The 14169-nt window shown below is 45.7% G+C and overlaps 1 protein-coding gene across 31 annotated transcripts in view, besides 2 other annotated features; it reads left to right on the top strand.

The window, feature by feature from the left end:
- MYT1L (myelin transcription factor 1 like) overlaps positions 1-14169 on the top strand; it is a 542163-nt gene that overhangs the window by 26889 nt on the left and 501105 nt on the right. The window lies entirely within an intron of this gene.
- Positions 10103-10602: an enhancer, noted in NCBI's record as "NANOG-H3K4me1 hESC enhancer chr2:2297557-2298056 (GRCh37/hg19 assembly coordinates)". NCBI's record gives its function as "activates a minimal SCP1, AML or CMV promoter by ChIP-STARR-seq in primed H9 embryonic stem cells {active_cell/tissue: H9 hESC(primed)}" and the evidence as "EXISTENCE:reporter gene assay evidence [ECO:0000049][PMID:30033119]".
- Positions 11610-12398: an enhancer, noted in NCBI's record as "H3K4me1 hESC enhancer chr2:2295761-2296549 (GRCh37/hg19 assembly coordinates)". NCBI's record gives its function as "activates a minimal SCP1, AML or CMV promoter by ChIP-STARR-seq in naive H9 embryonic stem cells {active_cell/tissue: H9 hESC(naive)}" and the evidence as "EXISTENCE:reporter gene assay evidence [ECO:0000049][PMID:30033119]".

The following is a 14169-nucleotide window of genomic DNA, read 5'->3' as shown; positions in this document are numbered from 1 at the left end:
CTGCCTATCCTTCAGAGGTCTGCCTCTTCTTATCCCAATAGCTAGCCTTATCTACACCACTCACTTACCTACCATAGTTACATAACTTTTCAGGCTACTCGCTAATGAATTTATTACTTTACCCAACACCAGACTGTATCCCCTGGAGAATGTGTATTATGAGTTCAGTGTGTTACGTTCCACCATATGGATTTTTCTGGTGATCTGTAGATACTTGTTTAATTTTTAGACGGATTTGGAATTTAAATAGTGAATTTGTTAATATTTTGTTAAATCCTGTACAGCTATAGCGTCTCACTTTATTTTTCAGTGTCTTTTTTGTTTCTTGTTTCCACATAATCCTTATTCAAATATTTGTTCTGGAATAAAGGGGTCTTCAAGAGACACTTCTAATGAGAAATACAAAACAGAAATCTTGGGATTGCTGACAACTACCCGCAGCTGGGACAACTGTGGTTAAGTCAGGACACTTCGATGTGACGTGTTGCTCGATGTTTTTCAATGTGTGCAGCAGAAGTCGGGGAAGATTCTTCCTTGAATGTCGCGTTACATACGTTGTCCTCTGAGAAGGAAGGTGGCTATCCTTGGCAATGGTTTCTATTATAACACAACTATGAACTGTGGTCATTTTCAGACAAGCTGCTTCCCTCCTCCCGGCCCTTGGTTTGTTTGGTGTTAAACGTCTCCTCTTGGTTTCTGTGGGTAAATGAATTGTTCTTAACACGGTGTCCTCTAAGATGTGTGCTCTATCCAGTGGGGCCTGCTGAGAACTGCCTGAACACAGTCCGTACGCTGCCTAAGTGCACTCCTGTGGCTAAAATAAATCTCAGCCCTAATGACTAGATCCCTCATCCTGACCCAAGCCTGATTAAGAGAGCAGGGAGACTCTGTAACAGTGACATGTGATTTTAAGATGTTTTGACTACATTGTCTTTGTATATGTTTGGAAAATAAGCATCAGTTGGTAGGAACTGGCTGACTCCTGGTCTGTACTGATAATGGTGCTGGGTGCCCTTGGGGTATAAAGGAAGAAGAGGGCATGACCTCAGTAAGAAGTAAAGGTGCCCCCGCGGAAGACAAGAGTTACAGGGCTCGGCCCGCCAAGCCGAGCATGCCGTGGAACCACGGCCACTCAAAGTTGAGCGATCCGCTTTTTCAACAAGTCTTTTGATACTGGACATTGCATCTCCACCTGTGATGCTGAACATTATGTTGATGAAGGTGATCGCCAGGATACAAGAAGATAATGTTTGTGAAACATAAAGAGTATCTGCAAACTATTACTATGATGACTACTATTATTCTTGTTGTTTTTTTTCCCATTTTTAACCTAGAATTAAAAATGGAGCCTGATTGACTACTCCCTGGCAAATAGTAGATGATGAGTAAATGTAAGTTGAATAATTTATTGAATGACTAAAAATAAATACATGTATTTATGCAAAAGGGACTCAATGTTGATTATGATCAAACATCATTCACAAATAGTACTAAAAGCCAAAAGTGCCTTGGCTTCTTCATTATAACAAAAATACTACTCCTTACCACAGTCAACTGGCCCCTCTCAAGGACTTTGTTCACGCATCAAACCATTACTGCACATTACCACGTCTACAATCTAATTAATAATTTGGGTTTCAGCAAAGTTTTAAATGAGACAAAAGAGCCCATTTAAATTCTCTAAGAGTTACAAGAATTTGATCAGGTTTCCACTTTTTGTTCGATCCCAGCCATTTGAGCGCACAAAGCTGTCTATCTTTCTAGGGACGGAAAGAACTCATTGTTCATTGTAAGCAGACATCCGCCACAGGAATGTGCATATATCAGCATATTTAGTGGCAGGCATAGTCATTGCAATTTGACATCTCAGTCAAGTTTTTCTTGAGATCTGGCAAAAATAGAAGTATAGCAACCCCTCCTCCTCACCATTTCAAAGGAAAAGTGGCCCCACATTTTCAAAGCTCACCTTATATAGATGAACAAACTCACATAAAAGAACAAACCAAAATCATACGATCACTTCTGTGCATTTTTAAATCGATTGGTCCAAAAATTTCTGAATATTTAGACAGCATTCACTGACTAATAAGTTAGGTAATTACTCATCTATCTACTAAAATTTTAGTCCAGAAGTTGAGCACCTGTTTGCAGAATGAATTTCTATTTCAATATTCTGCCATGTTTCACATTTGAGGAAATAATGGATGGATAATGGATATCAGTTTATTTTATTCTCTGTGTGTGCATTTTCTGCACCAGTGGTGAAGTGGACTTATTTTAATGTATTTTAAAGGTAATTGATCATGGCAATATTAGCCCATTGTGGATATCAATTTTGGAATAGAAAGAGGGCCATTGATGAGCCTGCCCTCCTTTATAGAGGTTGAATCATGCTTTCTTTATAGTTGTATCAACAAACTCTAACTTAGTGCCTGACACATAATATACAGCTAAAATTTTAGGTTTGATCAAATTCACATGAACTTAATATTTGGGCCCAGTAGTGAATCTCTATGATATGACCATATGTAAATTTTCTTCTTTTTTTTTTTTTTTTTTTTAGACAGACAGGGTCTCTGTTGCTCAGGCTGGAATGCAGTGATGCAAACGTAGCTCACTGCAGCCCTGATCTCCTGGGCTCAAGCAATTAGCCTCAGCCTCCTGAGTAGCTGGGACTACAGGCAGGTGCCATCATGCCTGGCTAACTTTTTAAATTTTTTAGTAGAGATGGGGTCTCACTATAATGCCCAGGCTGGTCTCGAACTCCTGGCCTCAAGTGATCCTACTGCCTCAGCCTCCCAAGTGCTAAGACTACAAGCATGAGCCATTGTGCCAGGCCCATATTTAAATTTTTAATTAAAGAAAACTTTTAGAATGGCTATATTGACCAATCCTTCCATTTTTGTTTTATTTTCTCTTATAACGAAATGCTGAGGGCAGTGCCTGACACATAATAAGGCTGAAAAAGGTGAGTTGAATGCTTTCTAATAAAGTGATGAAAAAATGAATGTGTCTACCTACGTATGTGAACTAAGGTATATAGGAGAGCAAAGAGAGTTTTCACCATGTCTGTTTCAAATAAAGTTTTCTTATATAGAGAGGAAATGAAACACAGAGAGAGGAAAAAAGACAGAGACAGAGGCAGGGAGAGTCTTGGAAACAAAGAAAAGAGAGAAGGTAGGGGAGGGTGAAACACTGAGCTGCACAAGGGCGAAGAGAAAAGTGCAAGGCTGGCACGGAGCGAAAGGTCTGGGTTTACAGAACACTCTTTGGATTAATGTGAACGTAGGCTTCCATGTTGTCTGCTGAGTGCAAGGCTGGCACAGAGCAAAAGGTCTGGGTTTACAGAACACTCGCTGGATTCATGTAAATGTAGGCTTCCATGTTGTCTACTGAGGATTGGAACAGAGAATGGGCCACAGCCAAGAGTGCTTGCTGTGACCAGTAGCTCCTGCAGGAGAGTGGGCGTTTTATGGCACAGCAAAAATCAGGACTTAGTTTTCCTGGTAGAGTAGAAGACGAGCACACAGCCTTCTTGATCTCTGCTCTGATGTCCACTAAGATGTGAAGAGAGATGCCCAGCTCCAGGCGGCTCTGTGAGTGTGTGAATCAAAGAAAGCTTGCACAGCCAACTCTATGAATCCGCTAAGAATCATCGCGTGGATTTGAGAACGTCCACTTCCCCTCTCCTCCCACACCACCAGAGGTTAGACAACTCAAAATGCGCATGGGACAAAGTTCTTTTAAAGCATCACCTTGCTGAGAAAAACGATACTTCAGTGTTACTATTATCATTGGGAAAACTGTGCTTCATTTATGGAGTATTGTTCAAGCTGGGAGAATGTGACTATGTAAATTACCTCAAGAAATTTGTGCCTCACACTAATGAGATGTAAAGAGAGAGATTCTCGCCATGTTCACAGTTTGTTGGACTTTGATAGGATCAGTTTGTGAACAATTGTGAATCACCTAAAACTGATTATACAAGCCTGAAAGCTGAGTATTAGAAACAATATACTGCTTTGCTTCCACTGTTTTCTATGAAACAAAGATATTAAAGTTATTTAGGTTACATGAGCATGCGATCTTCTCCATAGTAAGTAAAAGGAACTCCAGAGGCAATCAGAAGTCAAATGCCTCTACTCACATGTATCCAATTATATGTGTTTTCATAAACATATATTTATTTGAATGTCTTTAGGTTAGAACACATCAGTTTTACTTCCAGTAACTTATAAGTCATCATTAGGCACAAAGAAGACACATTTTCACAGGAGAATTTTGAGTTTATGTGTTTATGGAATCTTGTTTTGTGTTTTTTCCTGATATAAAGCCTTACTGCTCCATCCTAGTGTTTCATAATAATAAGCGAACTTGAGGCCAGGTTAAACAGCTTGGGAATGACTTCTAAGCCATTGATATACCAAATGGTATTGATTTTTTTTCCCTTTGCTTTAAAGTTAATTAAAAGGACACAATACATCAGTAGGCTGCCGGAAGATGATCTAGTGCCAAAGTAAGATTTGGGGATTGACAAGTGAAAGATTATGATGACATGGAAAAAGTTTGTAATGGGACTGGATGTTTCAAACAATCATTTTGGATAAAACTCTCCTCTCCTTTGTGAGTAAGAGTCTCTCACTGTCATTTTTAAGGATGGATCAGTCAGCACTAAGCAGAGCTGAAGAAAAACATGTGATTAACAGTTCGGGTGCTTGAGGTTTGCAATGTCCTGAATACTTGTGATTGCACTAGAAAGACATCCAGGAGTGTATCGTACTTAGTAAGCACTGAGAAAGGCTGTAAGAATGTCAGCAACCTCTAGTTGCGTATCTTGAGTGAAGGAGCAAATTTCCCTTTCCAAGCAAGAACCCCAACTCCCACCCTTGCCTCACACATCACCGTCCCAAACTAACTGGTGCACACTCAGGCTTCCAAATCACAAGCATGGCCTCCTGCCCACACCAGTTCGAACTGGATTCCTGGCTTGCCAGCCCGCAGGCATCCATGGGGCTCTCCAGTGACCTCTGACATGGGTCCCTGCTGGCGGCTCACATGGGCCGCTAGGCACCAGGAGGAGATCATGGCACAGGCTGCTGTCAGGTAGAGCCAGGATCTCCACATATTGATGGGTGCTCCCCCTTAGAGAAATTCTTAGTGCCAAGTCCCTGGAGAGGAACCCAAGCCTTTTGGTTTCATGAACAAGTCATGCCCCTGTTTAATAAACACAGAGTTGGCAGGGCTCGGTGGCTCACGCCTGTAATCCCAGCACTTTGGGAGGCCAAGGCGGATGGATCACCAGGTCAGGAGATCGAGACCATCCTGGCTAACATGGTGAAACCCTGTCTCTACTAAAAATACAGAAAATTAGCCAGGTGTGGTGGTGCACGCCTGTAGTCCCAGCTACTTGGGAAGCTGAGGCAGGAGAAGCACTTGAACCTGGGAAGCAGAGGTTGCAGTGAGCCGAGATCGTGCCACTGCACTCCAGCCTGGGGACACAGCGAGACACTGTCTCAAAAAATAATAATAATAAAATAAAAAAATAAACACAGAGTTACCGTGGAGAGAGTGAGAGGACTGTTCCTGAGCACTGCGGGACGTGTGGCAGCTCTGGCTAACTTCAGTGAGGGTGCCACCTCCCACGAGAACATGCCGTGTCTTGTGCTTCTTGACATTGGGACCAGGAAGCTGCTGGTGGCACAGGGACTTGTGGAAGCTCATGTTCCCCTGAATACAGATTATCTTATTTTACTCCTCCCAGAACTCAGGTGTGTGACTATGGATAACAGAATCTAAGGTATCTATTTTTCAAGGTATTATTTATCACATTACGTATTTATGTTTTTTAGAGAAAAGTTCACTTTGAATGAAAATGTATAAAAGTTTGTGCTGTTGTGGCCTGCTTCTTCATGGCATCTGGTAGATTATTATTGTAAAGCCATGTGTTAAACTAAAACATTCCTCCTGCTGGAATATTTCCCTGACAGATCCACACCAGAAGACTGTTCAGACTTTAAGCTTCATCGAATGGTCTCTCATTGCATCTCTTATCACATAAGTTTTCACTGTTTAAGTTTTTGTACTTCTAGCATGTCTCTTCAGAAGGGATATGATCCTGAGTGTCAGATCCAAATCCTCCCAGAATCTTCCACGTATATGGGCCTCAGAGGCCAACAACTGAGGCTCCTGGGAAATGTGTTTGTGTCAGTGGTTTGCAAATCAAGTGTTTCTGTGTTTATTTCAGCCCAAAAATAAAAGCCAGGCTTCATAAAAGCCAGGCTTAATCAGAGAACAAACTGGTCCTCACAGCATAGCTTTGTTAGGGCACCAGGGGCTGAGCAAGTTAAGGGTATTTTGTGGATGTTTGCTTCTCCTAGTTTCCTTCTAGAATTAACCCCAGCTGTGAAGCCAGCTTTCTTCTCAGGTCCTCGTTGTGTAACTTTAAGTGGCGTGGACGCAGAGAATGAAGCAGATGTGAGTAAGAATGAAGGGCTCAGGCATCCTCAATATCCCCTTTTGTGGGAGAGAGGGAGAGAGCAGAGTGGTTTTGCTTTACCAAAATTTGGGGCTCCTGTTTCTTTCCTCAGACGGCTCCCAAAGACATTCCCTTTATTTTCCTGGCTGTCCTCCCTCCCTGGGAGGGCAGAAGGAGGAGGGCAATGCTTCATGCTGTAGAAAGGACACATTTGTTCTTCCTTGAGCAGTCCCTGGAACCTTCTGGAGTGAATGCCTTTGAGCATCCTGAGTGGCACATGCAACTGTTGGCACGGCCAAGGGGAGAGTGGAGACAGGCATGAAGCATTTGAATGGTAGGAATCTTAAAATCTGTCTCTGGGGGTTTTATGTATGAAATAAGTATGAACGCCATGATCTGTCTGCAGAAAAGCATGTATTTGGTGGGAATCTTGTGTACTGGTAGTAGAGAGCAGGTTTCTGCCAGGTTTCAAAGCACTAACCCCAGGGCCTCCTCCTGGTGGGCCTGGGATGGGCCTGGCTTACGCCCCTGTGCAGGTGTCCCATCCACCCCACACACGGTCCCCTGTCATGCCATCCTGTGGTTAGGAATGTTCAAATGCAATTTCATGATGCTTCCTACTTGAGCTGAGCAGGGAGAAATGACTCAAATCAGAAATCATTTTCAAAACCTCCGAGGGTCACGACTTCACTGAGAAGCCTTGGAAGCAGAGACTCAGAGCGGCGCCACGGGTGAGGGTTGTGTGCATTCTATGTCGCAAAGGCGGGAGGTCCCCTGATACTTGTGTTGTTGCTGGCCCTCCCTTGAAGCAGGGACATTGCAGGTGGTTCCAGTTTGCCCTGAAGGGTCCTCTGGCTTCCTGCAGAGAAACCTGGGAAGGCAGGTGGTTCCAATTGGCCCCGAAAGGTCCTCCAGCTTCCTGCAGAGAAACCTGGGAAGGGGGTGTTGGCCCAGCTGCTGTTGGCACTGCCCTGGGACTAAAGTGAGCATCATTTGTTTTCTGTGCACCAGGGGCATTGCTATGAGGAGGCTCTGGGGTGCTGGCCAGCCCTGCACACACCGGTGAGGCCTGGTGATGACCTGCCCACAAAGAGGCAAGGCTTACTCCTGACGCAGTGCACTGTATGGTGTCTCCAGGCCGAGACCATCCACCAGCTTCTCTTTACTAGAGGGACGCATGGTGCCCTGGGGCAGCAGGAGGTGGCACCCGTTCTTGAAGTGTCTCTCCTTTCTGTGTCCCCACCGGGCCTGAGGTACCACAGACAGAGTCCCACACGCCCCTTTCTCACTCTCACTCCCCCTCTCTCTTCTCCTGGAGTTAATGACATTAGCCAGACAGCATTTCTAGAAAAAAACAAAACATCTGCTCCACTGCTGAAATGCTAAGATGGAAATAAAAAGCATATACCATGCCCATACACAAAAATATCTCGATAGTAATTACAAAGCTTTTGTTTATATTTTTTAATTTCTTGAATAAAAGGAAAAACCCTCAAAATGGAAATAGTTGTCATTGTGAATCACATTTTTTCTCTTAAAAAAAAATAAATGATCTAAATGGGACTAGTGACACTTTACCAAACAGGCCAAGCATTGTTTAATAGAGAATTGGCCTCTTTGGAATCAATTTCTTCTTCCACTTGTTTTAAAAGGCACTCTTTCCTCTTGCCTCTTAAATAGCTTTTGTTTCAGGAGCAGTGACAGGAGGAAGTTTAGCTGCACCTCAGGTGACTTTTATAGCAAAGCTTCTCAACCACCCAGGGTTTCCTTTTGACTGGCTCTGGCTTGGTTTATAGGCACCTCCTTGAAAAATAGAATAAAATTGTCTATATTTTCTATATTTATCCTACTGAGTTTTTAAAATGTAACTCCGCTCTTGGGTTGCTTGATTGTATGTATTTGGGTTGCCAGCCTTTGGAATCTCTCTCTCTCTGGCTTTATTCTTCTCTCTCTTTCTCTACCTCTCTCTCCTCCCCCCCAACCTCTCTCTCTCTAGCTTTATTATTCTCTCTCTTTCTCTGCTTTTATTCCTCTGCCTCTCTCCCTCTGTCTCTCTCTGCTACCTCCCGTCCCCTCTCTCTCTGTCTACATCCTCTGTCTCTCTCTCTCTCTCTCTCTCTGTCTGTCTCTCTATCTCTCTCTCTGTCTGTCTGTCTGTCTCTCTCTCTCTGTCTGTCTGTCTCTCTATCTCTCTCTCTGTCTGTCTGTCTCTCTCTCTCTCTCTCTGTCTGTCTCTCTCTCTCTCTCTGTCTGTCTGTCTCTCTATCTCTCTCTCTGTCTGTCTGTCTCTCTCTCTCTCTCTGTCTGTCTCTCTCTCTGTCTGTCTGTCTCTCTCTCTCTCTCTCTGTCTGTCTGTCTCTCTCTCTCTCTCTCTATCTTTCTCTGCACCTCCTCTGCCCCCACCCCCACACTCTCCACATTCCCTTTGGGTTGGTTTTCCATCTCCCATAATGCAAAGCACTGATGCTCAGGGTGAACCTCTTGCCACAGCTGGGTGGCAGAAAAAGCTGTCTGGCTCTATGGCCTCACAGCATAGAATTTACTGAGTGGACAGCACCCAGCAGAGGAAATGTTTCTCAGGAGACCTCCTGTTCCAGGTGTATTGCCCTTGTCCCTGTCCCTGGCTTCAATGCAGTGTGATACCAGTTTCCTCTGCCTGGAACGCCCTTCCTCATCTGTCTCTTCCCATCAGATCACACTCGGGCTACAGAGCTCTGATCCTGGCTCCTCTGTCTCAGCTTCCTCTTTCCTGAGCTCCTATCACATCTGCTCTGAAGCCTCAGCACGCTTTAGTATCACAGACTGTGATCAGGAAAGGCGGATCATAGATTTCACACCATCCAGCATCTCTCCTAATTCAGGGATTCTCCGGAAATCTTGACTGGTGTTCACCTGCTGATCCGGTCTCTGCCTGAATACCTAGATTGAAGGGGAGATCACCACCTAAAAAAAAAAGAACATCACTTTTAACTGCACGTTATTGATCTCATTTATGCACATTGATTGCTTCTCCACCCGGAATGTTAGCTTCTTGCGGACAGGGACTATTGTATAATATAATGTAGTATAATGTCTTCTACAATACCCTGCCCAAGTCTTTGCACACACTATTGCTTTCAACAGATACTTAATAATTGATTTCTTCTACAAGGTAAATGGTGAAATGAGCATCCGCTGACACTTTAATAATGGGCTGAATGTTTATTCCTAGTTACATGTGACTTAGATACCCTCAGCCTCCCCAGTAAAAAGAACAGGCAGAAAGTGAAGCAGATTTAACTCAGTTTTGGTCTCATGTGTAGAATGAGGTAATTTCAACTTCACTGTCTGCCCTCTCTTTCCTCCTTCCGTTCATATCTCGAATGCAATGCAGTCTCCAGCATGTGTTCAGTGGCTTAAGCTGAGCCTTGCTGGGCTGCCTGGCCTCAGATGAACTGCATCAGGCGCGGGCATCAGACGCGGCTTCTGGGTGATGCTGTGCTGAGCTCAAGTCAAAATTCATCTGATCTCAGTCCTTGCCAACTCTCTTCCCCCATTCTTTCTAAATTGAAACCATCCTAAGATATGCAACAAGGACAGCCAGGCTTTTGTTGTGCTTGGGGCCTGGCATAAGTTGAGAGGATGCCAGGGGCTCCCCTCACCACAGGGCTCCCCTCAGATGGCCAGTTGTTTTCTAAGCAGAGTCAAGTGACCGGGGCACCGCCCGTGAGTCGCTAACCGTCACCTGTGACCAACCATGCTTGTCTCTCGGCCATTCTCATGTTCCTCATTCCTCAGGGTCTGAGCTGTCACCATAATTTAATATTTTACACTGATAGATGAAGATATCTTTTAGAACCCAGATTTTTTTTCTCTTCCTCCTTACTCTCCTCTGTATTCACCCCACTACTTTTTAAAGCAAGACCATCCAATTCCACTGAAAGCGGGGGGCCCTGTCCTGCCCCCCGTGCTGGTGGCCGTTGCCTTCCCATGGCTGATGCTATCCAGAAGCATCCCTCAGAGGCGCGCCAAGCACGGAGCAGGCTGGCGTTCTTGGAACTGGGCATGAACAAGCCTGAGTTCCTTCCAAGGATCTCGTCCCACATCTTTCCTTCTGCTTTGTGCATTTTCAAAAACGTCTGACTCCAGAGGAGCCGGGAGGAGGGAGGGGGCCGGTCTTGCACCTGGGGGTTGGTGTCCACCTCCTGCCCCAGGCCGAGGGGCAGGTCCTTCCCAGAAGGGCCAGGGCAGCCTCAGGCGGAAGCTTTGGCCCTGCGCACCTAAGGGACACAGACACACCATCTTATACCAGTTACTACTTCCTCAGGGGTGTGTTTTGTTCCCCGGGGACCCCCTGAGGCCCCTCACCTGGAAGCCTTCGTTCTTCTAAGTTCCACCTCCTTAGCTCCGAGGGAAGCCCAGCTCCACCTGTGTGGGAACAGTGCTCACCATCACCCTCCACGCCCTGCTCCTGCAGATCTGCCTCTAACCAAGGGCGCTCTGTCCTCAAGGAGCACAGTCAGCGTGGGGGAATGGGGAATGAGGTCCTCTCTCTATCTGTAGTACCTGGGCACTGGGGACGGAGCTCTGAAGCCCTCACTCTTCCTTTTTCCTTAGTGCACTTGGCAGGTTCCCCTAAGAATACACAGGCATTTTCTTTCCCTCCTCGGTGCTGTTCTTGTTCTTTTTCTTATCCCTCAGCCCTTTGGATTACATAGAAGATGGACACAGCTGCCGTAGTAAAGGCCCCATGAGGCCAGTGGCACCTGATGTCAACGACAGTTTTGAGGCTTTACTTCCCCGAGCTGCTAAGCTGGGACCCTCTGGCTCCAGATGCCTCCAGGGTGGCTGTCTTGGCCCCAGATCCAGAGCCTCTATCTTCTTGATCCTGTCTCTATGACTTCAGATTTTCTCTGTAAGCAGAACTTGCAAATGAAACATAAACATGCAAGACAGAGGAAAATGTTCTTTTGCAGAGTGTGTTTCAGGGAAAAGAGCGTGCCTTGGTTCCCCGTCTCACCGATTTCCACAGATCCGTTCCTCTCCTATCCCACTCTCCTTATCTCAAATGTCTTTCTGATTGCTCTGTGTACAGACTTGGGGTTAAAATAAATTAGGGAGAATAGTTTGTCAGATACAGTTTATCCAATACGTCTGATTCCTTGGAAGCAAACTTGCTTGTGATATCAGGATGTAGAACCACTTCGTCTTTTTTAAATTTACAAATACAAACTTTGCTCTCTGTGTGACTTGAGCACAGTGTTCTCAATGTGGCTTGTGGAGGCTGGGACCCTGAGGGCCACACAGACGGCTATGTCTGTGCACCTGTCCCGGCAGGGCCCCGCGCTGAGCCCCAACAGGGATGGGAGGCTGTCCCCGAGTGCTGACGAACCACCTCTGGGTTTGCAGTGTCCTGTCCAGAAACCGTGTCACTGCTGAGGGCAATATGGAGTCCTGACATCCACAAGAAAATAAAAAATAGCAAAGGAAATCGAAGTGGGGAATTTTCCCAACAGTTCTTTCCATAGCCAACCGTAAGTCTTTTGTGCATTTCACAAGGACTTTTTCTCCAATTTCAGGTTTGTTTTCATGTAACGTTTGGGAATAGAATTGCTATCCCAAACCAAGGAGGCCGCAGGCTGGCCTGAGCGGCACCGACTCAGCTTCAGGAGAGGCTGAGCAGGGCAGCCTTCAGTCTTTCCTGAGCCACGGACCCCAGAGCTGCAGGCCCCTGCGCCCGCCCCCAGTCACTCTGCAGGAATTCTTGCATCTGAGGATAGTAGAGCCTTCACCTGCCCTGCTCGCTGCCCCTTTTGCCTGGGAAGATTCCTTCCTTCCCGCTCCACACCAACAGAGGGAAGCAGAGCCCACGCAGCTGAGGCCCAGGCCCAGAGAGCAGCGCCCTGGATGGGCAGTCGGGCCCCACCCGCTCCTCTCAGCCCGGGCACAGCCACCCGCCCCGCCCTGCACCTGCGGGCTGTCGAGCGCTCCTCTGCACTCTTAGAATCGCACTCTGACGTCTCGTGAGATGCTCCAGAGAAAGCTAGGCTGTGAATAGAAATGCTAAAAATTATCAAATACTCTGTGAGACAGTGACTTTTAGGTTCTTTTCAGACCCGGTCATGTGGGCTCCTGTAATGCAAGAGCTGGCACCTGGGGGCACAGGGTGCGTGGGTCGGGGAGCCAGGCTGGCTCGGCGCCTGCACGTGGCAAGGGAAGCTGCTGTCCACCTGCAACCGCACCCAGCGTACGCGGTGCAGAACCCGACTTTCCACACAGGCCACGGCGCCGGGACTCAGAACCCATCACGCACCGCGTCTCCTTAGAACTGAGCGGCTTCCTCTTGTTTGTCCCATTAGCAAATATGTCGCTTTTGATTTTCACCTTCCAGTTTGTGTGATGAGCTTCTTCAGGACAAAGACCTGGACACTTTCCTGTTGGCCAGTCTCCTGCCTCCCATCCCCAAGAGTCACCTCTTCCATTTCCGCGAGGAGTAAATGCCTGTAGATTAAATCTTCTTCTGAAGTCATGGGCAGGCATGGGGCTTCAGTTCCAGCTCCAACCTGTAAAATCATGGGCTTCTCTAGCTAATTGTCCTGAGCCCAGAACATTTTCATTTTATATCATAAAGAGATTTAAGCTCAAATCACAAATCACTGGTTTCATAGTCAGGAGGCAGGAAGGCTGTACGTTGGCTTTGTAGCTAAAACCCAGAATCACAACCCTTTTTTCCTGATTTTTTTCATCATTCTCGCTTCTTAGGCTGCTTCTGTGCTTTGTCTCAGGGTTCTCAGCATAGGAGAATTTAATGTTGCTCTGAGTTATTCCTTAAGTAAAAACATAATTTATACTGACTTTCATTTTTTTTTTTTACCTAGCCTTTCCCTTACATAATCTAAATTGATTTTTATAATGGCCCTAGAAGGTGAGTGGGCTGGTGTTGTCAATGTTTTATCTTTTTCCTCTTTATCTAATGGAGGAAGTGGTTGTGTTTTGAAGTTCATACAGCTAAGAACTAGCAGAATAGCAATTCAAATCTGGATTTTCTTTTGCTAGTTCTGGGGATTTCTTTTGAGCCAGTGTTTCTTAGCCCTGGCCACACATCAGGATCACCAGGGGACCTTAAAAAAAATACTGATGCCTGGGCCTCACCCCAGACTAATTGGATCAGTGTCTCTGCAGGCAGGGGTCAGTGCCTTTCCAAAGGTCGCAGGTAATTGCAATATGCAACCAGGTCCAGGAACCACATCTTTAAACCATGTTGTTTTCCTGCCTCTACGTCAGAGCATGTGTGTGTATGTGTGGACTGGGGGCATGGATGCTAACAGAATGCTGTCATTTTAACCTGTAGTTCTTAAACTTGGCTGGCACATGTGATGAGCAATTAAGTTTTAATGACTCTTTTTCTTCATTGTTATCTTTATGCCCACACCAGTGTTGTATTTCCTTAAAATGTAAGTCCTTTAATTATACAAACTGTGTGAGTATAACATGTTCTTGCTATTATATGGCATGTGATAAAGCACACAGCACGCTAGTCTTCGAGATGAGGTCATCCAGCGACTTCAGACTTGCGCAAATAAAGAACCTTTTAAAAAACGAAAGCAGACGAAGGCCTCGCTCCTCAGATGGAAGTGGAAGCCAGGGCTCTGGGCCTTCCCCAGCTCCCTCTCCTTGCAGATAAACGTTTGCTCCATCAGAGGTTGGGGGTGACC

This window comes from Homo sapiens, chromosome 2 (genome assembly GCF_000001405.40).
Source record: "Homo sapiens chromosome 2, GRCh38.p14 Primary Assembly".
NCBI classification, from domain to species: Eukaryota; Metazoa; Chordata; class Mammalia; order Primates; family Hominidae; genus Homo; species Homo sapiens.
The sequence above is the reverse complement of the archived record's forward strand: the minus strand, read 5'-3'. Positions and strand labels throughout refer to the sequence as shown.